Below are 27,697 nucleotides of genomic sequence, written 5' to 3'. Positions count from 1 at the left end.
TATTTTTGACTTGGTGAACCATATGGTCTCTGTCACAAGTGCTCGACTCTGCCATTGTAGTTTAAAAGCAGCCGTAGACAATACATAGATCAATGTGTGTGGGTATGTTCTAATAAAACATTATTTCTGGACATTGAGATCTGAATTTCATGTCATTTTCACTTGCTATGAAATATTATCCCTTTGATTTTTTTTCAACCGTCACTGTTAGCTTGCAGAATATACAAAAATAGTGAGTCAGGACACCTCATACATGTGGGTGCCCCTCTGGGACAAAGCTTCCAGAAGAAGGATCAGGCAGCAATATTTTCTGTTCTGCAATATTTGCTGTTCTGCAGCCTCCGCTCGGTATACCCAAGCAAACACGGTCTGGAGTGGACCTTTAGCAAATTCCAACATACCTGCAGCTGAGGGTCCTGAGTGTTAGAAGGAAAACTAACAAACAGAAAGGAATAGCATCAACATCAACAAAAACGACATCCACACCAAAACCCCATCTCTAGATCACCAGCATCAAAGACCAAAGGTAGATAAAACCACAAAGATGGGGAGAAACCAGAGTAGAAAATCTGAAAATTCTAAAAACCAGAGCACCTCTTCTCCTCCAAAGGATCACAGCTCCTCGCCATCAATGGAACAAAGCTGGATGGAGAATGACTTTGACGAACTGACAGAAGTAGGCTTCAGAAGGTCGGTAATAACAAACTTCTCCAAGCTAAAGGAGAATGTTCGAACCCACCGCAAGGAAGTTAAAAACCTTGAAAACAGATTAGATGAATGGCTAACTAGAACAGTGTAGAGAAGACCTTAAATGACCTGATGGAGCTGAAAATCATGGCACGAGAGCTACATGACTCATGCACAAGCTTCAACAGTTGATTTGATCAAGTGAAGAAAGGGTATCAGTGACTGAATTAATGAAAAATTAATGAAATAAAGTGAGAAGAGAAGTTTAGAGACAAAAGAGTAAAAAGAAATGAAGAAAGCCTCCAAGAAATATGGGACTATGAGAAAAGACCAAATCTACGTTTGATGGGTGTACCTGAAAGTGACGGGGAGAATGGAACCAAGTTGGAAAACACTCTGCAGGATATTATCTAGGAGAACTTCCCCAACCTAGCAAGGCAGGCCAACATTCAAATTCAGGAAATACAGAGAACACCACAAAGATACTAATCGAGAATAGCAACCCCAAGACACATAACTGTCAGATTCACCTAAGTTGAAATGAAGGAAAAAATGTTAAGGGCAGCCAGAGAGAAAGGTCAGGTTACCCACAAAGGGAAGCCTATCAGACTAACAGCGGATTTCTCAGCAGAAACTCTACAAGCCAGAAGAGAGTGGGGGCCGATATTCAACATTCTTAAAGAAAAGAATTTCCAACCCAGAATTTCATATCCAGCCAAACTAAGCTTTATAAGTGAAGGAGAAATAAAATCCTTTACAAACAAGCAAATGCTGAGAGATTTTGTCAACATCAGGCCTGTCTTAAAAGAGCTCCTGAAGGAAGCACTAAACATGGAAAGGAACAACCGGTACCACTGCAAAAACATGCCAAATTGTAAAGACCATCGATGCTAGGAAAAAACTGCATCAACTAATGGGCAAAATAACCAGCTAACATCATAACGACAGGATCAAATTCACACATAACAATATTAACCTTAAATGTAAATGGGCTAAATGCCCCAATTAAAAGACACAGACTGGCAAATTGGATAAAGAGTCAAGACCCATCAGTGTGCTGGATTCAGGAGACTGATCTCACATGCAGAGACACACATAGGCTCAAAATAAAGGGAAGGTGGAAGATCTAACAAGCAGATGGAAAGCAAAAAAAAGCAGGGGTTGCAATCCTAGTCTCCAATAAAACAGACTTTTAACCAACAAACATCAAAAGAGACAAAGAAGGCCATTACATAATGGTAAAGGGAACAATTCAACAAGAAGTGCTAACTATCCTAAATATATATGCACCCAATACAGGAGCACCCAGATTCATAAAGCAAGTCCTTAATGACCTACAAAGAGACTTTAGACTCCCACACAATAATAATGGGAGACTTTAACACCCCACTGTCAATATTAGACAGATCAATGACACAGAAGGTTAACAAGGATATCCAGGACTTGAACTCAGCTCTGCACCAAGCAGATCTAATAGACATCTACAGAACTCTCCACCCCAAATCAACAGAATATACATTCTTCTCAGCACCACATTATACTTATTCCAAAATTGACCACAGAGTTGGAAGTAAAGCACTCCTCAGCAAATGTAAAAGAACAGAAATCACAACAAACTGTCTCTCAGACCACAGTGCAATCAAATTAGAACTCAGGATTAAGAAACTCACTCAAAACCGCACAACTACATGGAAACTGAATAACCTGCTCCTGAATGACTACTGGGTACATAACGAAATGAAGGCAGAAATAAAGATGTTCTTTCAAACCAACGAAAACAAAGACACAACGTACCAGAATCTCTGGGACACATTTAAAGCAGTGTGTAGAAGGAAATTTATAGCACTAAATGCCCACAAGAGAAAGCAGGAAAGATCTAAAATTGACACCCTAACATCACAATTAAAAGAACTAGAGAAGCAAGAGCAAACACATTCAAAAGCTAGCAGAAGGCAAGAAATAACTAAGATCAGAGCAAAACTGAAAAAGATAGAGACACAAAAAACCCTTCAAAAAATCAATGAATCCAGGAGCTGATTATTTGAAAAGATCAACAAAATTGATAGACTGCTGGCAAGACTAATAAAGAAGAAAAGAGAGAAGAATCAAATAGATGCAATAAAAAATGATAAAGGGGATATCACCACCAATCCCACAGAAATACAAACTACCATCAGAGAATACTATGAACACCTCTACGCAAATAAACTAGAAAATCTAGAAGAAATGGATAAATTCCTGGACACATACACCCTCCCAAGACTAAACCAGGAAGAAGCTGAATCTCTGAAGAGACCAATAACAGGCTCTGAAATTGAGGCAATAATTAATAGCCTACCAACCAAAAAAAGTACAGGACCAGACAGTTTCACAGCCGAAATCTACCAGAGATACAAAGAGGAGCTGGTACCATTCCTTCTGAAACTATTCCAATCAATAGAAAAAGAGGGAATTCTCACTAACTCATTTTCTGAGGCCAGCATCATCCTGATACCAAACCCTGGCAGAGACACAACAAAAAAAGAGAATTTTAGACCAATATTCCTGATGAACATCGATGTGAAAATCCTCAATAAAATACTGGCAAACCGAATCAACAAGCACATCAAAAAGCTTATCCACCACAATTAAGTCGGCTTCCTCCCTGGGATGCAAGGCTGGTTCAACATACACAAATCAATAAATGTAATCCAGCATATAAACAGAACCAACGACAAAAACCACATGATTATCTCAATAGATGCAGAAAACCCTTCGACAAAATTCAACTGCCCTTCCTGTTAAAAACTCTCAATAAACTAGACATTGATGGAACATATCTAAATATAATAAAAGCTATTTATGACAAACCCACAGCCAGTGTCATACTGAATGGGCAAAAACTGGAAGCATTCCCTTTGAAAACAGGCACAAGACAGGGGTGCCCTCTCTCACCACTCCCATTCAACATGGTGTTGGAAGTTCTGGCCAGGGCAATCAGGCAAGAGAAAGAAATAAAGGGTATTCAATTAGGAAAAGAGGAAGTCAAATTGTCCCTGTTTGCAGATGACATGATTGTATATTTAGAAAACCCCATCGTCTCGGCCCAAAATCTCCTTAAGCTGAGAAGCAATTTCAGCAAAGTCTCAGGATACAAAATCAATGTGCAAAAATCACAAGCATTCTTATACACCATTAACAGACAAACAGAGAGCCAAATCATGAGTGAATTCCCATTCACAATTGCTACAAAGAGAATAAAATACCTAGGAATTCAACTTACAAGGGATGTGAAGGACCTCTTCAACAGAACTATAAACCACTGCTCAACAAAATAAAAGAGGACACAAATAAATGGAAGAACAGTCCATGATCATGGATAGGAACAATCAATATTGTGAAAATGGCCATACTGCCCAAGGTAATTTATAGATTCAATGCCATCCCCATCAAGCTACCAATGACTTTCTTCACAGAATTGGAAAAAAACTACTTTAAAGTTCATATGGAACCAAAAAAGAGCCCGCATCGCCAAGTCAATCCTAAGCCAAAAGAACAAAGCTGGAGGCATCACGCTACCTGACTTCAAACTATACTACAAGGCTACACTAACCAAAACAGCATGGTACTGGTACCAAAACAGAGAGATAGACCAATGGAACAGAACAGACACCTCAGAAGTAACACCACACATCTACAACCATCTGATCTTTGACAAACCTGACAAAAACAAGAAATGGGGAAAGGATTCCCTATTTAATAAATGGTGCTGGGAAAACTGGCTAGTCATATGTAGAAAGCTGAAACTGGATCCCTTCCTTACACCTTATACAAAAATTAATTCAAGATGGATTAAAGACTTAAATGTTAGACTTAAAACCATAAAAACCCTAGAATAAAACTTAGGCAATACCATTCAGGACATAGGCATGGGCAAGGACTTCATGACTAAAACACCAAAAGCAATGGCAACAAAAGCCAAAATTGACAAATGGGATCTAATTAAACTAAAGAGCTTCTTCACAGCAAAAGAAACTACCATCAGAGTGAACAGGCAACCTACAGAATGGGAGAAAATTTTTGCAATCTACCCATCTGACAAAGGGTTAATATCCAGAATCTACAAAGAACTTAAACAAATTTACAAGAAAAAAACAACCCCATCAAAAAGTGGGTAAAGGATATGAACAGACACTTCTCAAAAGAAGACATTTATGCAGTCAACAGACACATGAAAAAATGCTCATCATCACTGCAAATCAAAACCACAATGAGATACCATCTCACACCAGTTAGAATGGTGATCATTAAAAAGTCAAGAAAAAACAGATGCTGGAGAGGATGTGGAGAAATAGGAATGCTTTTACACTGTTGGTGGGAGTGTAAATTAGTTCAACCATTCTGGAAGAGAGTGTGGCGATTCCTCAAGGATCTAGAGCTAGAAATACCATTTGACCCAGCCATCCCATTACTGGGTATATACCCAAAGGATTATAAATCATGCTACTATAAACACACATGTACACATATGTTTATTGTGGCACTATTCACAATAGCAAAAACATGGAACCAACCCAAATGTCCATCAATGATAGACTGGATTAAGAAAATGTGGCACATATACACCATGGAATACTATGCAGCCATAAAAAAGGATGAGTTCATGTCCTTTGCAGGGACATGGATGAAGCTGGAAACCATCATTCTGAGCAGACTATCAAAAGGACAGAAAACCAAACACCGTATATCCTCACTCATAGGTGGGAATTGAACAATGAGAACACTTGTACACAGGGTGGGGAACATCATACACAGGGGCCTGTTGTGGGGTGGGGGGCAGGAGGAGGGATAGCATTAGGAGAAATACCTCACGTAAATGATGAGTTAATGGGTGCAGCAAACCAACAATGGCACATGTATACCTATGTAACAAACCTGCATGTTGTGCACATGTACCCTAGAACTTAAAGTATAATTAAAAAAATATATATATATGTGTGTGTATATATATATATATATGTATATATATATATACGTGTATATACATATACGTATATATATACATACATATATATACGTATATATATATATATATATATAAGTTTAGCAAATTTATCACCTAAAAAAAAACATAGTCAGAGTTGGCATACAGGCCATAGTTTGTCAACTTCTGCTTTAGAGGGACATTAATCTTGCAAGACTGTGAGAGATTTCATTCTGCTTTCATCAGATTCTTGAAGAGGTCTATGACACCAAATTCTAAATTTGTGATTCCCAAAATAGCAATTTTCTCCATTAATGTACATGAGATGGTAGAGAACAACCAAACTCATATTCAGAGCCACAACATATAGTTGGACAGTACACCCTACCTGTTCTGTATGGTGATAAGTTATAGCCATGGCTAGGCTCACTAGGTAAGTGACTTGCTCTTTAAGTATGCTCAATGAAAATCTGTTTCTCATCAAAATGGCTAACTGCTCTAGGCAAATAATAATAATGATATATTTTAATATCCACTGATACCCCTTAGTATGTCCCTGGCATTACAGTTAGTGCTTTACATGCAATATCTCACTTAATCCTCACAACCATGTGAGAACTATTATTGTCCCCTTTTTGTTGAATGAGGAGACTGAGGCTTGAGGTGTTTGATAACTTGCCCCAGGTAACAGAACTAGTAAATGCTGGATCTGGGATTTCGATTCAAGTCTTATTCTATAACCTGTGCTCACAATCACTACTGTTTCTCATGGCCAAAAAAAAAAAAATGTTTTATTCTACATATGAAACGTGGAAATGGTGAATCCCAAGGTTATACTGTATAATAAACGCCAAATGATATATTGTTATGTACTGCGTGTTGGTGTCCCCCCAAAATTCACATGTTGAGACCCTATCTCCCCCATTGTGATGGTATTAGGAGATGGAGAGCTTTAGGAAGTGGTTAGAATTAGAGGAAGTGATGAGGGTACAGCCTTTGTGAATGGGATCAGTAGTGCCCTTATGAATCTTGAGAGAGCCTGCTTCCCTCTCTTCTCTGCCATGTGAGAATACAATGAGAAGTAGGCTGTCTACAAGCCAGAAGAGGGTCTTCACCAGAACCTGACCATGTTGGCACCCTGATCTCAGAATTTCAGTCTCTAGAACTGTGAGAAATAAATTTCTGTTGTTTATAAGCCACCCAGTCTATGGTATTTTTTACAGCAGCTCAAACTGACCAAGACATCTATGATAAGAATGAGTAAGTAGCACTGGCATCTCTTTCTCCCTCTGCATTGTCTCCATAGAATGCTTTTCATATACCACATCACCCAAGACAGGCAAATAAAGGGTTCCAGAATCTAGATGTGTGAGGAAAAGACATTAGCTTGGAAAGGTTTTGGTCCCACTGTTAAGCTGTAGTATGTTTCATCTTCATAAAGATACTCTGGAATTAAAAGGCATGTGGAAAAATGACCATACATTATATTCTTGTGAGAATATGGTCACTGGTAGATTATTCAGAGTCTAAAAACTGTATAGCTCCTCTTGATTAGAAAAGAGAGAGGACAGAGGAAAATAGTAAAACTCATATCATGTTTGTTATTCAATGACAGTTTTTATGAAGATTAAGTGAGAGGAGGAGGCTGAAATTAGAGACTAACTTCCAGTTTTAAATTAGATAATCTATAGACAATGGAAAGAACTTAGACTTTGATGTCAAGAAGATCTAGGCCATAAACAGAACTCTGCTACTCACAAGCTATATGATTTGGGGCAACTTATTTTAGCTCCCTGAGTCTCAGTCTCTTCATCATAAAATGGGAATAATTACCGATCCAGCAGAGGTTTTTGTTTTGCTTTGTGGGTAAGGGCTGAATAACATAATATACTTCTAGCTCTCTGCATCACAGTATGTGCTCGATAAAGGGTGCATATTATTATTATTCCCCAACCGCTGAATTAGCCACCTTCCTTTGCAATAAGACAACTTAGCGGGTTTTATAATTCACATTGTAATTATATAGATATCTATATAGGTATCTATATAGATAAACCTATGCAAATCAATATGAATACATTGTCAAAATGGTATTAAACACTTTGTCACCTTCTTTTTGATCACAGTAAAATCACAGCAGTATTTGTTTAGAAAGTATAATTGTCACTGCTTGGTCCCACAAAGTGTTTATTGCCAGTATGGAATACTAGCAATGTTATAAGTATTATAATGGATAATATTTCTAATATTTGATGCTGAAAGTTCTTTTGGTGCCTAAACTTAGTAAAACTAAACTTAATAAAAATAAAAGTCTTAAGATTGACAGGGAGACTGATAGGTAAATAGCACAAAAAATGGAAGCTGACATTTCTTTATGTAGGTGTGACTCATCCCTTTAAAATTACAGAATCTAGAAAGGCCCATTTTCCCCCACCTAATAGCTCAAATTTATAAAGTTATATTAAATGCTTCACCTAATCAACCTGTCAGTGTTACTCTATATACTCACATTAAAAGATCTATATTATGAACTATGTGATAATTTAAAGCAATTGCAGATACTTAAGTACCTCATAACCTAAAAAGAAACAGAAACCACAGATATGAGAAAGACAAAATATTTATGGGGAGAACACATCTTAAGTTCAAACCACTAATGATAATGCTATCAAATTATTTAAGAAAAGAATGAAAACAAAATTGACTTATACCCAACAAACCTGAAGTGGATTCTGATTTGGTCTTTGCTTCAGAGCTGAGTTCTGTTGGCAAGGGCACTGAGTGTTTCAAGACGTGAGTTGTTTTTGCAGGTACTTCTATTTCGGAAGAGGATCCTAGCTGTTTACCAAACAGATTTTTCCTTCATAAGTAAATCATTTTACTATTTCCTTCATCTACTTTCTCATTTTATCCTCGACCTCTGTCCAGTACCCTCATTACAAGCCAACACCCACCCAAACAAAACTCAATGTTGACCGTCTTGCTCCATGTAAACTCTACCTTAGTTTTTTCTTTAGGTTTAGGGAGTGACTCTTCTTTGCTGCTTTTTGTCCACAATGATTTAACTGCTCCAAAAATTTGCTGGCTTGTAGCATATACCTTTTTTGCTGTTACCTAATTAAAACAAAAAGTAAGTCAAATAACATATTTTTAAAAGTTAAAATTAAAAATGTATTTTAGATTTGTCAGGTATTTTATATGAACACTCAAGTCAGAATCAATAAAGATATAAATCTCTAAATCATATAACACAAAGCACCATTTCTAAAATCTTATATGAAAAATTTTTTGTGTCATGCAAAGGTTATAAGAAATGTATAATCTGCATTCACATTGTAACATAAATTTAAAACTATGTCTATTTTTTTAATTTTTTTCAGCTTTAGTGAGATTAGATTGACATATATAAAATTGTATCTATTTAAGGTATATAACACGGTGATTTGATATAAGTGAAAACTGTGTCTATTAACAGGAGTTTGGGGAATATAGTTTGAGATAATAAACTGCTGACTGAGAAAATGAGATTTTTAACATGCTACAAAGTTAATGCTTTTGCTTAAAATTTGATGGTGCTTTCTCCATTCATAAAGAAATAAAAGGCATCAACTAATTCCTCCAAAGAATAATATTCTTTTTTGGTAGAAAGGTAAAATAAACAATGACTGATAAATATACTCAAGCAGAGGCCAGGATGCTGGCTGAATTCCTAAAGTTACCGTTATTTTCATTCATCTCTATTTCTCTTTGAAAATCTACTTCTGATTTCTTCTTTTTCCTATTCTTCTCCAATGCTTTTGTTCATTTTAGTTAAAGTAATTTCAACAGCCATTGATTTTTCAAGTTTTGAAGATGTTTTGAGGTATTTTTCAGGATTATAATTTCTACAAACATAAATTTTTTAAAAATTATGTTTCCATCCTCAAATAGAAATATTTTTATTGTTTTTACTAAGTATATACCTACAGTTGAAAAGTTAAGTAATATACTAATATAAAGAAATTCCTCTTCCTCCCCAAATATAACCTTTGTTAACAGTTATACATATATCCTTCCTCAATTTTTACTCATCTATACATTATATATACACAAATTTTAAAACAAATGTAATATTAATATTTACAGATCTTTCAAAAAAGATGAAGTAGATCTATATGTACTGGCATGAATGGAAGTCCATGATGAACCACTAATTTGAAAAAGTTACAGAATAGATTATACAATACAATCTCAATTATGTTTTCAATTAAATTTTAAAATAAATTACATATGTATTTAGTTTGTTTTCCTTTTCAAATACTTGAGATCACAGTACACATATTATTCTGAGATATGATTTTTTTAAAAGCTTGACAGTATTTCAAAGGCACGGTTCTATATTACTTTATATACCGTAGATCTACTTTTTAAATTTGCTGCTTAGTTTAGCATTCTATAATGTATGCACCACAATTTGTTTAACAAATTCCCTATTGAGGCACGATGATTTAACAAATCCCGTTGGTGAGCATATGGGCTGTTTTCCTTTTTGGGGGTAGGGAGATGGCAAGTATAAGCAATGATGAAATTAGCATCCTTATACATACAACTGGGACCATAACCCTTATAGTATTTCCTCAGGATAAATTCCTAGAGCTGAAATTTCTGCACTGAAGCGTATACACATATTAATTTTTGACAGTATTACCATGTTGCTCTCCAGAAAGTCAGCAATATACTGCAGCAATTTACACTACCACCAAGAGTATATGTCTGTTTTCCTACCCTATTTACCAGCAGTGATATTATAAGTCTTTTAAATCTTTGTCAAATTTAAAGGCTAAAAACCAATATCTAAATGATTTTTCAAATTTGCATTTATTTGTTGATGAAATCAAGTATCTTACATATATTAGGCCATTTATGTTTCTTATTTTGTAGACTGCTTTTTTCATTTTCCCAGAGGGCACATTCATCTTTTGCTCATTGATTTATAGGAGTTCTTTTTTTTGTTTGTTTTTTTTGAGACGGAGTCTCTCTCTGTCACCCAGGCTGGAGTACAGTGGCGTGATCTCAGCTCACTGCAAGCTCCGCCTCCCAGATTCATGCCCATTCTCCTGTCTCAGCTTCCCGAGTAGCTGGGACTACAGGCGCACGCCACCATACCCACGCCACCATGCCCGGCTAATTTTTTGTATTTTTAGTAGAGACGGGGTTTCACCGTGTTAGCCAGGATGGTCTCGATCTCCTGACCTCGTGATCCGTCTGCCTCGGCTTCCCAAAGTGCTGGGATTACAGGCATGAGCCACCACGCCTGGCCAGGAGTTCTTAATACATGAAGGATATTAGTACTTTGTCATATATGTTACAAATAGTTTTCCAAGTTTTTCATGTATCCATTAACTTTGTGTATGGTATATTGTAATCTACAGAAATGTATTAATTTTGATGTAGTCAAATATGTCAACTTTTTCTTTAATGGCTTCTAGATTGTATTTTGCTTAAGAAAGCTGTTCCTATCTCAAGATTAAACAGGTATTCCTCTTATTTCTTCTCATACCTTTTATAGTATTCTAGTTTATGATTAGATCTGTATTCCACCTAGAATTAGTTTTCCCATGATAGTTGGTAAAGGTCTGAGTAATTCTACAAACAGCCAATTATCCCAACATATTTCTTGGAAAAAAAAAATCCATCCTTTCCATTACACACTGATCTGAAATGCCACCTGTACCACGTATCAATCCCCTACCCTCATGTGTACAAAAATATACTCAATATAATTGTTTGGATATTCTCTTTTGTCCTCTTGATCTATTTTATTGTGTATACTATAGTAACCAATACACAGTAGACAGACAACAAATACTAGATGAATGAATGTCACACTCCATTCAAATCCAGAGCTTTTGTAAGAACTGAATTAAATTTCTAGACTTTGAAATACTCGCCGTATTTCAACATTTAGTCTTTCATCGAGAAACAGGATATATGCCCAAAGACATTCAAGATTTTTTGTTAAATATCCTTCACATATAAGTGAGATCAAACAGTATTTGTCTTTCTGTGTCTATCTTATTTCACTGAGTATAATGTCCTCTGGGTTATCCATGCCATTGCAAATGGCAGAATTTCCGTTTTTAATGGTTAAATAGCAGTCTGTTGTAGTATATATGTACCAAATTATCTTTATCCCTTTATCTACTGAGAGACACTTAGGTTGTTTCTAATCTTGACTATTGTGAATAATGCTGCAATGAACATGGAGGTGCATATATCTCTTCAAGATACTGATTTCATTTTTTTTTTTTTTGGACATATACGCAGAATAGAAGCAGAGAGTAGAATGGAGGTTGCCAGGGGATAGCAGTGAGGTAAATGAGATGTTGGTCAAAGGGTACAAACTTTCAGTCATAAGATGAACAAGTTCTGGGTATATAATGTGCTGCATGGGTGGTGATGGATATGTTAATTTGATTGTAATAATCATTACACAATGTATATGTATGTCAAATCATCATGTTGTACACCTTGAATATATTCAATCTTTATTCATCAATTAAATATTGTGAAAATTTAAAAATACCCTTCAGTAAAGTTTGATAGTTTATTTTTCTTTTAAACAGGCGTTAAAACATTATTTGGTAAGTCTATTCCTAGATATTTCATAGCTTTCAAAGACAGACTACTTGCTACTCTTTACATAAGTTAATAATAAAAATATTGTGAGGAAAATTATAAAAAGCGAAGAGTAATTCCATCTTGAAGTCTATTTTCAAAATGATGAGTAACTGGAGTGAGTCTTTTGTTTTTCAAAGGACCTTCTAGACTTATCATTTCTTAAACTTTTTAATATCACAGATACCTTGGAGAAGCTCTTAAAAGCTATAGGCCCTTTCCTTCAGAAAAACACAGATACACTAAAAAGCTCTCACCTGACATTCTTTTAGGAGACTTGACTGATTAATAAAATGTTTTTTTAATTTATTATAAATGATGTTTGTAGAATGTTGAATATTCATCCCTATCAGGTGCTCTCCAATATGCTAAGGTACTATCTTTCACAAGTTGATTAGTATGCTTATTAAGTTCCTTTTTTCCCCAAGTTGCTGCATCAGTTTTACTTATAATTAAACAGTCTAAATGTAACTTAATATGATAAAATATGAGTTTAAAAAGAATTATTGTTTCTAGGAAAATTAAGTTAAATGCTTCGTAAAGACTCAAATGTGAATGGCTAAAAAAATAACTGCTATGAAATTAGAGGTGAGCAAGACAATTATAACAGCTGGGAGAAATAAACATCTAAAAGGATTCTGCACTCAATTTTTTTTAATGTTTTTAACTGTTCATTCTATTTTAAAAGAACCTAATCTGGAAATTGTAGAAGACATACTACAGATATGGCTTACTGTTGGAAAGATGTTATAGATCTTTAACCAGGAGACCAATACTCAAAGAAAAGCCCTACTTCAAAATAGAGAAAAAGGAAAGATTTTTTTTTTTTTTTTTTTTTTTTTTTAGAGATGGCGTCTCACTCTGTCACCCAGGCTGGAGTGCAGTGGTGCAATCTCGGCTCACTGCAATCTCCGCCACCTGGGTTCATGTGATTCTCGTGCCTCAGCCTCCTGAGTAGATGGAATTGCAGGCGCCTGCCACCAGGCCTGGCTAATTTTTGTATTTTTACTAGAGACGGGGTTTCAACACATTGGTCATGCCGAAGAAAGACATTTATGTTTTAATTTCAAGTAAAATTGTGGGTATACATTTTTATATATATTTTTACAACTCGCTGCTTTAACATTTTTGATTAATTGTTAACTACTGGTCCTGATTATGTCAAATAAGAAGGTTTTTCTTGTACATACGTGACTTTTCATAAAGTTTTGGATAGGAGGGTGTGCTATAGACTCTCTAAAGTCCATCATGGATCTCAGGTTAAAAAAAAATCATATATTTGAATTTGTAAAATATTACTTGATATTATTATAGTCAAAAGAAAAGCAAGGATTTCAACTCTAAGAATTAAAGTAACAATTATTATTTACCCTAGAAGAACATTTAAAAATTAATCTCTTATATTAGAAAAATTTTTATTTGAAGTTCAGCAATTATTTTGTTTTTCCTTTTGTAAAGTAAAATTCAGTTTAATACTTTATTTTAAAAAATAAAAATAAGACACATACTATGATCTCATTCTTATCTGCCTATTCATAATCAGTTTTTCTATCTCTGTGTATGCATGTGAAGATGTCTAGAAGAACATTCTATCCAAATGTGGACATGGATATTTGTATGGATAGATGCATTTTGGGTTGTTGTTTTTTTCCTAAACTTTTCTGAAATATTTAGATTATCTAAAGATAAGCAGGTATAATTTTTAAAAGCAACCATGATGTCATTACTCTTAGAAAAAAGAAGAATCAGGGCCGGGCACGGTGGCTCACGCCTGTAATCCCAGCACTTTGGGAGGCCGAGGCGGATGGATCACCTGAGGTCAGGAGTTCGAGACCAGCCTGGCCAGCCTGGTGAAACCCCATCTCTACTAAAAATACAAAAATTAGCTGGACGTGGTGGTGGGAGCCTGTAATCCCAGCTACTCAGGAGGCTGAGGCAGGAGAATCACTTGAACCCAGGAGGCAGAGGCTACAGTGAGCCAAGATTGGGCCATTGCACTCCAGCCTGGGTGACAGAGAAAGACCCCATCTCAAAAAAAAAAAGAAAAAAAAAAAAAAAGAAGAAGAATCAGTGGAAGCATCATCCACTGGGAGGAGTAATGAACATGGAGGCCAAAATATCTGAAGGTCAGTATGATGCTGGGCAAGTCAGTCACTGTGAAACTCCTCTGAGCTACTGTTTCCCTATAGATAAATGAGAAAAGATCAAAGTTGAATTAAATGAGCTTAACAGTTTCTTTCAATACTAGCATTTTATTAATTTAAGTGGTTAATTCCTATGTAAATTATTAAGAAAGAGTTTTAAAAATAAGTTTACCATGTTATCAATTATTTCAGGTATAAGTAGACTTAATGAATAATGCTCTCTTCCTTTGTTATGAGCTTTTATAGTTTGATCACATTACAAACTACATAGTACACCATATCCTCGACATTCTCAAAATATTGATAGGCAACTTTCTCTATATCAATAGTTAAAGGGATGAAGTAATGGGAATACAAGTACAGAAAGTCCTTCTGGTAACACTACACATTGTTTCAAGCATGAGGGGGAAATGCTAACTGTTGGTAATTAAGAGGAGAAGGAAAAGAGGGGAAAAAATGCATAACCCAAAGTTTTCCTTCTCCATCTGAACATGTGTTAAAAATAAAACACTGAAAAAAACTGTTCAAATCATTAAGAGAATCTGGATTTGTACTTAAGCTCACAAGAAAAAGACAGAACTATAACAAGCATTTATACAGGTGTTTCTTAATTCTAAGTGGTTTCCATATTGAGTTCCTGTGCGTGTGTGTGTGTGTGTGTGTGTGTGTGTGTGTGTGTGTGTTTTACCTTCAGAAACCACTGAAACCAATCTATCAACTGGTTGTTTCTTATGTCAGGTTAATCTGCTGAACCAAACAGCTGCTAGCATTTTAATCTTCTTTTAAATAAAAATTGAAGTTTATATATCTCAACAATGGAGCAGTATTTCTCCCCATAAATTCTAATTCAGTGTCTCTGAACGTAATCCTCAAATCTGCCTTTACATTGTTGAATTATATTTACACAAATTCATCTTATTAACAATGGCATTTACCATACTGAGATGCTAATGTGATTTGGCCAACATAAGAGTTGATACCAACTATGTCTCTTAAAATTAAATGTTGCAGGTGCTGTGTAACATTTAAATATTGTCACATTGAGAGTTTAAACAAATACTGAAATGTTGCTATTATTTAAAAAGAACTTACCTTAGCAATTATTACGGACTGAACTGGGTAGCAAACAGTTGCTCCTAAAGTGGCCAGTCCCAGAGGATAAGTAATTTTCTTAAACTTGGAACCTATAAAATGCAAATATATTATTAAACTCCAAATATATACCACCAGAGACTTGATGTTCTTATACCGTAATGCTTTCTTTGCTCTCCTGGTAAGCCATCACCCTCTGTTAAATTACTTTTTAGGTAATTATACCAATCAAGATGGAAGCTAAAATGCCCTTAAGGATCTCAAGCCAATAGCCCCTTAGCTGTCATGTCCAATTTAACAAAAGTATTCTCAATCTAATACTCACAATTACCTACACAAAAGGAATTGATGATTTTCTTCTGCTTGAAAGCTAGGTATTTTTCATGTCCTACGAAACCCAAATTTATAACCACAATTTTGCAAGTATCTAATAAAGCATGATAATATAGATAATTAGTTAACTACTGTGTGACACCATGTAAAAGTGAAATGGACTCTCTCTTACATGTCCTTTTTTGATTAAGTATTTGGAAAGGTGAATGACTCAACTAAATCATCAACTAAGGACTTTAACAGGTACATAACTCCTTCATGTCACTGACTTAGAATACTGAATAATAATTGCAAGTAACCTGACATAAGTAATGCATATCAATAAGTGCCTTAACTATGCATCATTTAAGAGTTATTTTCGTATCTTTTTTTGATAACAAAATCCTTTCAAAATATCTTTCAAATAGAATCTCCCTAGGAACTTCAATATATAAAACCTATAAACTTGATGCTGCTCTAACTTGGGGGTGGGAAGCTCTGTATCAAACCCTAGCTGTGTGGCTTTTCCTTTATCCTGATAGCACCACTAAACACTTCCATGAAACTAAGGGTTCTACAGAATAGTTTGAAATCCACCACTTTAAGCCATAGCTTAGTTCCAACAGATTGTTGGTTCAAAATAATATGTAAGTTAAACGCTTGTCTGAGTATCTTATACTGTATATATGATCCAGGTAACTGGATGATGGGTTTTTTAATTGGGATAAGTACTTTTATGATCTGAAGCAGCTTATACAATCCCTAATCTAAAAAGGGAACAGCCTATCTGGTATATTATACAAATGAAAATGAATGTTTGCAGGCAAATTTGCAGTTTAGGGAAGGGAAAAACAAGAGGTCTATCTCGGTCTGGTTTAACTATTATTAAGAGAGCTTTCTATAGTCATGTCTAGAATGGACTGAGGTGGCGGGTGGTGGGTGGCCAGGCTGATTCAAACTAGTTTAGCTTTTCTTTAGATTTAGACTTTTGTGGTATGCAGAAAGAGGGTTTAAGTATATTAAAATGTCCTAAGTTGCTCCTTTACTCTAGCCCTGCTTGCTATTATTCCATTATCTACAGTTAAATTTCTTATTTTATAATCCTAGTATCTCTTGAGGTAAGTTCCCTTGACTTAACCAAATTCCCCTAATTGTGCTGCTCCTAAACATAGTAGGTGGCAGTTTTTCCTTATGTGTCATTTTAAAGATTAGAAAGACTTATAGTCATCCTCTCTTTACCTGATAAGAAAGGCCAGTCTGCAAGAACAAACTACTCTGATACTTGCTATTCTCCTCTATTTTTAAACAAAATGCATCCTGACAAGCAAATACTGAGGGATTTCATCACCACCACGCCTGCGCTGTGCACTAAACATGGAAAGGAAAAACCATTACCAGCCACTACAAAAACACACCAAAGTACACAGACCAATGACACTATGAAGCAACTACATTAACAAGTCTGCAAATTAACTAGCCAGCATCATTATGACAGGATCAAATTCACACATAACAATATTAACCTTAAATGAAAATGGACTAAATGCCCTAATTAAAGACACAGGATGGTAAGCTGGACAAAAAGACAAGACCCATTGGTGTGCTGTATTCAAGAGACACATCGCATGTGCAAAGACACACATAGGCTCAAAATAAAGGGATGGAGGAAAATTTACCAAGCAAATGGAAAGCAGAAAAAAACAGAGGTTGCAATCCTAGTGTCTGACAAAATAGACTTTAAACCAACAGATGTCAAAAAACACAAAGAAGGTCATTACATAATGGTAAAGGGCTCAATTCAACAAGAAGAGCTAACTATCCTAAATATATATGTACTCAATACAGGAACACCCAGATTCATAAAGCAAGTACTAAAGACCTACCAAGAGACACACACCTCCACATAATAATAGTGGGAGACTTTAATATCCCACTGTCAATATCAGAAAGATCATCAAGACAGAAAATTACCAAAGATACTCAGACTTGAACTCAGCTCTAGATCAAGTGGACCTGATAGATATCTATAGAACTCTCCACCCCTCCAAAAAAAACCAGAATATACATTTTTCTCAGTGCCATGTGGCACTTACTCTAAAATTGATCACATAATTGGAAGGAAAACACTCCTCAGCAAATGTAAAAAAACTGAAATCATAATAGTCTCTCAGACCACAGCACAACCAAATTAAACTCAAGATTAAGAAATTCACTCAAAACCACATGACTACATGGAAATTGTACAAGCTGTTCTTGAATGACTTCTGGGTAAATAATGAAATTAAGGCAGAGATCAAGATGTTCTTTGAAACTAATGAGAACAAAGAGACAACATGCCAGAATCTCTGCGACACAGCTAAAGTGGCGTTAAGAGGGAAATTTATAGCACTAAATGCCCACATCGAAAAGCTAGAAAGATCTCACATTGACATCCTAACATGACAACTAAAATAACTAGAGAACCAAGAGCCAACAAACCGCAGACCTAGCAGAAGACAAGAAATAACCAAGCTTCAGAGCTGAAGGTGACAAAGGCACAAAAATCCCCTCAAAAAAAAAAAAAAAATCCAGGAGCTGTTTTTTTGAAAAAAACAAAAAACAACAACAATAAAATAGACTGCTAGCTACACTAATAAAGAAAAAAAGAGAGAAGATTCAAATAAACACAATCTGAAATGATAAGGAAGATACCATGACTGATCCCATAGAAATACAAAACACCATCAGAGAATACTATAAACACTTCTATGCAAATATACTATAGAATCTAAAAATGAATAAATTTCTGGACACATACACCCTCCCAAGACTGAACCAGGAAGAAGTTGAATCCCTGAATAGGCCAGAAAAACATTCTGAAATTGAGGCAGTAATGAATAGCCTACTATCCAAAAAAAGCTCAGGACCAGATGCATTTACAGCTGAATTCTACCAGAGATAGAAAGAGGAGCTGGTACCATTTCTTCTGAAACTACTCCAAACAACTGAAAAGGAGTGACTCCTCCCTAACTCATTGTATGAGGCCAGCATCATCCTGATACCAAAGCCTGGCAGAGATACAACAAAAAAAGAAAAGAAAAGAAAACTTCAGGCCAATATTCCTGATGAACATCGATGCAAAAATCCTCAGTAAAATACTGGCAAACCAAATCCAGAAGCACATCAAAAATCTTATCCACCATGATCAAGTTGGCTTCATCCCTGGGATGAAAGGCTGGTTCAACATATGCAAAATCAATAAATGTAATTCATCACGTAAAAAGAACTAAAGACAAAAACCACATGATTATCTGAATAGACGCAGAAAAGGCCTTTGATAAAATTCAACATCCCTTCATGTTAAAAACTCTCAATAAACTAGGTATCGAAGGAACATGTCTCAAAATAATAAGAGCCATTTATGACAAACCCACAGCCAATATCATAATGAATGGGCAAAGGCTGGAAGCATTCCTCTTGAAAACTGGCACAAGACAAGGATGCCCTCTCTCACCACTCTTATTAAACATAGTATTGGAAGTTCTTGCCAGGGCAATTAGGCAAGATAAAAAAAATAAAGGGTATTGAAAGAGCAAGAGAGGAAGTCAAATAGTCTTTGTTTGCCGATGATATGATCCCTATATCTAGAAAACCCCCTCAACTCAGCCCAAAAGCTTCTTAAGCTGATAAGCAACTTCAGCTAAGCCTCAAGATACAAAAATCAAAGTGCAAAATTTGCTAGCATTTCTATACACCAACAACAGGCAAGCAGAGAGCCAAATCATAAATGAACTCCCATTCACAATTGCCACAAAAGAATAAAATACCTAGGAATACAGCTAACGGGAAGTTACGGACTTCTTCAAGGAGAACTACAAACCATTGCTCGAGGAAATCAGAGAAGACACAAACAAATGGAAAAACTTTCCATGCTCATGGATAGGAAGAAACAATATCGTGAAAATGGCCATGTTGCCCAATGGAATTTAAAGATTCAATGCTATTCCCATTCAGTTATCATTGACATTCTTCACAGAATTAGAAAAAACTATTTTAAAATTCACATGGAACCAACAAAGAGCTCATATAGCCAGGACAACCCTAAGCAAAAAAGAACAAAGTTGGAGCCATCATGCTACCTGACTTCAAACTATACCACAAGGCTACAGTAGCCAAAACAGCAAGGTATTGGTACAAAAACGGGCACACAGACCAATGGAGCAGAATAGAGAACTAAAACCGCACATCTACAACCATCTGATCTTTGACAAACCTGACAAAAACAAGCAATGGGGAAAGGATTCACTATTTAATAAATGGTGCTGGGAAAACTGGCTAGCCATATGCAGGAAAACTGAAATTTGATCCCTTCCTTACACCTTATACAAAAAGTAACTCATGATGGATTAATGACTTAAATGTAAAACCCAAAACTATAAAAACCCTAGAAGAAAATATAGGCAATACCATTCAGACATAGGCATGGGCAAAGATTTTATCATGAAATCACCAAAACCAATCACAACAAAAGCAAAAATTGACAAATGAGATCTAATTAAACTAAAGAGCTTCTGCATAGCAAAAGGAACCATCATCAGAGTGAACAGACAACGTACAGAATGGGAGAAAATTTTTGCAATCTATCCATCTGACAAAGGTCTAATATCCAGAATCTACAAGGAATTTAAGCAGATTTATAAGAAAAAAAACTAAGAACCCCATTTAAAAATAGGCAAAGGACATGAACAAACACTTCTCAAAAGAAGACCTGCTCCTGAATGATTACTGGGTAAATAATGAAATGAAGGCAGAAATAAAGATGTTCTTTGAAACCAACGAGAACAAAGACACAACATACCAGAATCTCTGGGACACATTCAAAGCAGTGTGTAGATGGAAATTTATAGTACTAAATGCCCACAAGAGAAAGCAGGAAAGATCTAAAATTGACATCTTAACATCACAATTAAAAGAACTAGAAAAGCAAGAGCAAACACATTCAAAAGCTAGCAGAAGGCACGAAATAACTAAGATCAGAGCAGAACTGAAGGAAATAGATACAAAAAACCCTTCAAAAAATCAATGAATCCGGGAGCTGGTTTTTTGAAAAGATCAACAAAATTGATAGACCGCTAGCAAGACTAATAAAGAAGAAAAGAGAGAAGAATCAAATAGACACAATAAAAAATGATAAAGGGGATATCACCACCAATCCCACAGAAATACAAACTACCATCAGAGAATACTATAAACACCTCTATGCAAATAAACTAGAAAATCTAGGAGAAATGGATAAATTCCTCGACCCATACATCTTCCCAAGACTAAACCAGGAAGAAGCTGAATCTCTGAATAGACCAATAATAGGCTCTGAAATTGAGGCAATAATCAATAGCCTACCAACCAAAAAAAGTACAGGACCAGATGGATTCACAGCCGAATTCTACCAGAGGTACAAAGAGGAGCTGGTACCATTCCTTCTGAAACTATTCCGATCAATAGAAAAAGAGGGAGTCCTCCCTAACTCATTTTCTGAGGCCAGCATCATCCTGATACCAAAGCCGGGCAGAGACACAATGGAAAACAAGAATTTTAGACCAATATCCTTGATGAACATTGATGCAAAAATCCTCAATAAAATACTGGCAAACCAAATCCAGCAGCACATCAAAATGCTTACCCACCATGATCAAGTGGGCTTCATCCCTGGGATGCAAGGCTGGTTCAACATACCCAAATCAATAAATGTAATCCGGCATACAAACAGAACCAAAGACAAAAACCACATGATTATCTCAATAGATGCAGAAAAGGCCTTTGACAAAATTCAACAAATCTTCATGCTAAAAACTCTCAATAAATTAGGTATTGATGGGACGTATCTCAAAATAATAAGAGCTATCTATGACAAACCCACAGCCAGTATCATACTGAATGGGCAAAAACTGGAAGCATTCCCTTTGAAAACTGGCACAAGACAGGGAAGCCCCCTCTCACCACTCCTGTTCAACACAGTGTTGGAAGTTCCGGCCAGGGCAATCAGGCAGGAGAAGGAAATAAAGGGTATTCAATTAGGAAAAGAGGAAGTCAAATTGTCCCTGTTCACAGATGACATGATTGTATATCTAGAAAACCCCATCGTCTCAGCCCAAAATCTCCTAAAGCTGATACGCAACTTCAGCAAAGTCTCAGGATAGAAAAATCAATGTACAAAAATCACAAGCATTCTTATACACCAATAACAGACAAACAGAGAGCCAAATCATGAGTGAACTCCCATTCACAGTTGCTACAAAGAGAATAAAATACCTAGGAATCCAACTTACAAGGGATGTGAAGGACCTCTTCAAGGAAAACTACAAACCACTGCTCAATGAAATAAAAGAGGATACAAACAAATGGAAGAACATTCCATGCTCATGGGTAGGAAGAGTCAATATCATGAAAATGGCCATACTGCCCAAGGTAGTTTATAGATTCAATGCCATCCCCATCAAGCTACCAATGACTTTCTTCACAGAATTGGAAAAAAACTACTTTAAAGTTCATATGGAACCAAAAAAGAGCCCGCATCGCCAAGTCAATCCTAAGCCAAAAGAACAAAGCTGGAGGCATCACGCTACCTGACTTCAAACTATACTACAAGGCTACAGTAACCAAAACAGCATGGTACTGGTACCAAAACAGAGATATAGATCAATGGAACAGAACAGAGCCCTCAGAAATAATGCCACATATCTACAACTATCTGATCTTTGACAAACCTGAGAAAAACAAGCAATGGGGAAAGGATTCCCTATTTAATAAATGGTGCTGGGAAAACTGGCTAGTCATATGTAGAAAGCTGAAACTGGATCCCTTTCTTACACCTTATACAAAAATTAATTCAAGATGGATTAAAGACTTAAATGTTAGACCTAAAACCATAAAAACCCTAGAAGAAAACCTAGGCAATACCATTCAGGACATAGGCATGGGCAAGGACTTCATGTCTCAAACACCAAAAGCAATGGCAACAAAAGCCAAAATTGACAAATGGGATCTAATTAAACTAAAGAGCTTCTGCACAGCAAAAGAAACTACCATCAAAGTGAACAGGCAACCTACAGAATGGGAGAAAATTTTGTAACCTACTCATCTGACAAAGGGCTAATATCCAGACTCTACAATGAACTCAAACAAATTTACAAGAAAAAAACAAACAACCCCATCAAAAAGTGGGCAAAGGATATGAACAGACACTTCTCAAAAGAAGACATTTATGCAGCCAAAAAACACATGAAAAAATGCTCATCATCACTGGCCATCAGAGAAATGCAAATCAAAACCACGATGAGATACCATCTCACACCAGTTAGAATGGCAATCATTAAAAAGTCAGGAAACAACAGGTGCTGGAGAGGATGTGGAGAAATAGGAACACTTTTACACTGTTGGTGGGACTGTAAACTAGTTCAACGATTGTGGAAGTCAGTGTGGCGATTCCTCAGGGATACAGAACTAGAAATACCATTTGACCCAGCCATCCCATTACTGGGTATATACCCAAAGGATTATAAATCATGCTGCTATAAAGACACATGCACACGTATGTTTATTGCGGCACTATTCACAATAGCAAAGACTTGGAACCAACCTAAATGTCCAACAACGATAGACTGGATTAAGAAAATGTGGCACATACATACCATGGAATAATATGCAGCCATAAAAAATGATGAGTTCATGTCCTTTGTAGGGACATGGATGAAACTGGAAACCGTCATTCTCAGCAAACTATCACAAGGACAAAAAACCAAACACCGCATGTTCTCACTCATAGGTGGGAATTGAACAATGAGAACACATGGACACAGGAAGGGGAACATCAAACTCTGGGGACTGTTGTGGGGTGGGGGGCGGGGGGAGGGATAGCATTAGGAGATATAGCTAATGCTAAATGACGAGTTAATGGGTGCAGCACACCAACATGGCACATGTATACATATGTAACAAACCTGCACGTTGTGCACATGTATCCTAAAACTTAAAGTATAATAATAATAAAATTAAAAAAAAGAAGACATACATGTGGCCAATAAACATGAAAAAAAGCTCAACATCACTGATCATCAGAGAAATGCAAATCAAAACCACAATGAGATAATCTCTCACACCAGTCAGAACGGCTATTACTAAAGTCATAAAATAACAGATGTTGGTGAAGTTGTGGAGAGAAACGAACACTTTTACACTGTTGGTGGGGATGTAAATTAGTTCAACCATTGTGGAAGATAATGTGGCGATTCCTCAAAGATTTAGAACCGGAAATACCATTTGACCCAGCAATCCCATTACTAGGTATATACCCAAAGGAACATAAATCATTCTATTATAAAGATACATGCGTGCATATGTTCATTGCAGCACTATTCACAATAGCAAAGACTTGAAATCAACCCAAATGTCCATCAATGATAGACTGGATAAAGAAAATGTGGTACATATACACCATGGAATACTATGTAGCCATAAAAAGGAATGAGATCATGTCCTTTGCAGGGACATGGATGAAGCTGGAAAGCCATTATCCTCAGCAAACCAACACAGGAACAGAAAACCAAACACTGCACATTCTCACTTATAAGTGGGAGCTCAACAATGAGAAGACATGGACACAGGGAGGGGAACAACACACACTGGGGCCTGTTGTGGGAGGGTGGGGGCGGAAGAACATCAGGAAAAATAGCTGATGCATGTTGGGCTTATACCTAGGTGATGAGTTGATAGGTGCACAAAACCATCATGGCACACATTTACCTATGTAACAAATCTAAACATGCTGTACATGTACCCTGGAACTTAAAATATAATTTTTTAAAAAAAGGTAAAATGTCTCCTGAGATTCATTATATTTATGTCACTACCTACTAATAGGTTAAGATCTCCAATTTGAAAAACACTGGCTTAGATTATTCTAGCTCTGACATTTGAAAACACGGTGAATGACCTAAGGAACATTTTCTCTTACAAGAATGGTATAAGTTTTTTACTGAGAAATTGAGTAATATGTTTTGGACAATTTCCTTCAAAATTTAATTCTTTGAGTCTTATTGTTTTATATGGTGATCTTGGTTTGTAATTATTTCTTACTGAATAATTTATAATACTTATTCAATTAGAAGTTGCTTACCTACTATAATAAGAAATAGGATATAGGGAAGCATTAATATTAGCTATAGGGAGATATATATATATATCATCCATTCAGATGAGATATATATATCATCCATTCAGATGAGATATATATCATCCATTCAGATGAGATATATGTATATCATCCATTCAGATGACATATATATATATCATCCATTCAGATGAGATATATATATATACACAATAAGAACATTCTAGCATCCTCTCATATATATATATTATATATATGTTATATATCTATATTATATATATGTTTTATATATATATATGAGTTAGGATACTAGAATGTTCTTATAATTGCACAGCAGTTTTGTACCTAATTATGCCTTGATTTGAGGCTTTTAGGACTATAGCTGGAAAAACAAACTACAAAGTACCTGACATCAGATTCCAGACCGGCTCAGAGCTGTGCCTTCCAATATAAGTAATTTAGTTTGGGGACAATGTCTGGCAACTGGAATGTGGACAAAGGATGGATGAAAGGTGACCAAAATGGCTAGTGACTACAGAACTACACCAGCTTAGTAAGGGCTTGGAGAAATGAAAAATCTGTATATAAATTTTCATAGTAGCTCTATTCCTAATCACCAAAAGCTGGAAACAACCCAAATGTCCAACAGGTTAAGTGATAAAGTAAACCGTGGCACATCCATATGAAGGAATACTACTTAGTAACAAAAAGGAACAAGCTATTGACACATGCAACAATCTTGATAATCTAAGTGAAAGAAGCCAGTCTATGTATGATTCCATTTAGATGGCATTCTCAAAAAGACAGAGCTATAGTGACAGAGAACAGATCAGTGTTTCTGGGAGTTAGAAGTGGGAAGAAGGTCTGACTGCAGACAGACAGCATGAGGTACTTTTTGGGAATGATATAACTGTTCTGTATCCTGGTTGTGGTGATGGTTACATGACTCTATGTATATATTAAAACTGATAGAATTGTATGAATTTACTGTGTGATAATTTTAAAATATTTTTTTTTTGAGATGGAGTTTCGCTCTTGTTGCCCAGGCTGAAGTGTAATGGCATGATCTTGGCTCATCACAACCTCTGCCTCCCGGGTTCAAGTGATTCTCCTGCCTCAGCCTCCCGAGTAGCTGGGATTACAGGCATGTGCCACCAAGCCCGGCTAATTTTGTATTTTTAGTAGAGACAGGGTTTCTCCATGTTGGTCAGGCTGGTCTCAAACTCCCGACCTCAGGTGATCCACCCACCTCAGCCTCCCAAAGTGCTGGGATTATAGGCGTGAGCCACTGTGCCCGGCCAAAAATTTTTTTAAACATATAGCTATTTCTATTAAAATTATAATTTGTCATTTTGTTTTCTAGGTAACTTTTTTTTAAGATCTTAAGAGTCACTAACTACTGAAAAAATTTCTTGAGAGTTTTATCTTAATGTAAAAATATATACTAATCACTCAAACTACTTTTCTCAGTCATGACCCCCATATTCTGGCAGCTACTTTAAAGATTTGAGACAGAGATACTGATATATGAGACAAAATTTGATTTTCTCTTGGTCTCATCCTAAAGAATGTTGTTGGGACTGACATGGTATCTCATTCTAGTTTTCATCTGCATTTCCCTAATGACTAATGACGTTGAACAGCCTTTGGAATAGCTATAGTTTTGAAAACACAAAGTCCTTATAAAAGTAAGCATGCTGTAATACAGAATCTAAAAATCTTTACAGTAGCCTATCCAGATAATATTCAATAAAGCATATGAGGTTTTCTCATGACCACAAAATTCAGAAACTAATATCATGGCATTAAGAGAGAATATATTTTTTAAAACCCTACCTTTTCTCGCTGAAACCAAGCCCGCCAATCCTGAAACTGTAATAACTCCCATTTTCGGAAGAAAATCTCGAGGAGGATTCTTCAGATAGACATAAGCATCTCAAGAAATCAGTTAAAAATTAACATGAATAACTGAATTCTACTGGATATTCTATACAGTTATAATGCAGGAAGGTTAAAGAGATTTGCTAAGATAATAATGAGGTTTAAATATTCTTCAAAAGAGCTACATATAATGACAATATGAGTAGCAAGCTAAAAAACTAGATATATTTACTTGTTACAAAATAAAATTTTCCTTCCGTAGCTGATTTAATATTTCTTTTCCTAATGATACTGACGGTTATTACTATAAAGAAATGTAATGCTAGAGGGCACATCTTAATATGGGTTACTATAAGGTAAATTTCTGACTGCGTATGTATTATATCTCTATGATGAACTTCTGCCCTTATCTGTTCAAACACTGGTAGCCTCCAATAAGAAATGAAATAGATACTTTATTAAGGAGTTTTGAATAATAGTTTAAGGATATACACAGCTACTAGACCTTGCTTGCCACTACTCCCTAATAACCTCAGGACAGCCACTGCTGTTGGTTAAAGTCAATCATCAGTGAGCCTAGACAAAAAGTAGATGAAGAGTAGTTCTTGGCTTTCTATATGTTGAATTTGTTTCTGGTTCCAAAAGTACACTTTTCTATCATAGTTAATTATTTAATGGCAATCACATATTTAATCCTATTCCTCATGATTGATGAGGAATATAATTTTGAATTTATTCCTAATACATTAAATAATGACAATTCAAATACAGGTCATCAACTTCATGGAAACATTCAACATTTTAGCTCATCTTTCT

The 27,697-nt window shown here is 35.8% G+C and overlaps 1 protein-coding gene across 2 annotated transcripts in view; it reads right to left on the bottom strand.

The window, feature by feature from the left end:
• APOOL (apolipoprotein O like) overlaps positions 1-27,697 on the bottom strand; it is an 89,439-nt gene that overhangs the window by 10,554 nt on the left and 51,188 nt on the right. Inside the window, exons 5-8 of one of the 2 annotated variants that reach the window (XM_017029272.2) lie at positions 26,837-26,935; positions 15,544-15,635; positions 8,651-8,764; positions 8,362-8,488 (exon numbers count right to left, since the gene is read on the bottom strand). In XM_017029272.2, coding sequence (XP_016884761.1) covers positions 8,362-8,488; positions 8,651-8,764; positions 15,544-15,635; positions 26,837-26,935 — 432 coding nt within the window. The remainder of the gene's footprint in view (positions 1-8,361; positions 8,489-8,650; positions 8,765-15,543; positions 15,636-26,836; positions 26,936-27,697) is intronic. The other variant, NM_198450.6, reaches the window with a different exon arrangement.

Source organism: Homo sapiens, chromosome X (genome assembly GCF_000001405.40).
Source record: "Homo sapiens chromosome X, GRCh38.p14 Primary Assembly".
Lineage (NCBI taxonomy): Eukaryota > Metazoa > Chordata > Mammalia > Primates > Hominidae > Homo > Homo sapiens.
The sequence above is the reverse complement of the archived record's forward strand: the minus strand, read 5'-3'. Positions and strand labels throughout refer to the sequence as shown.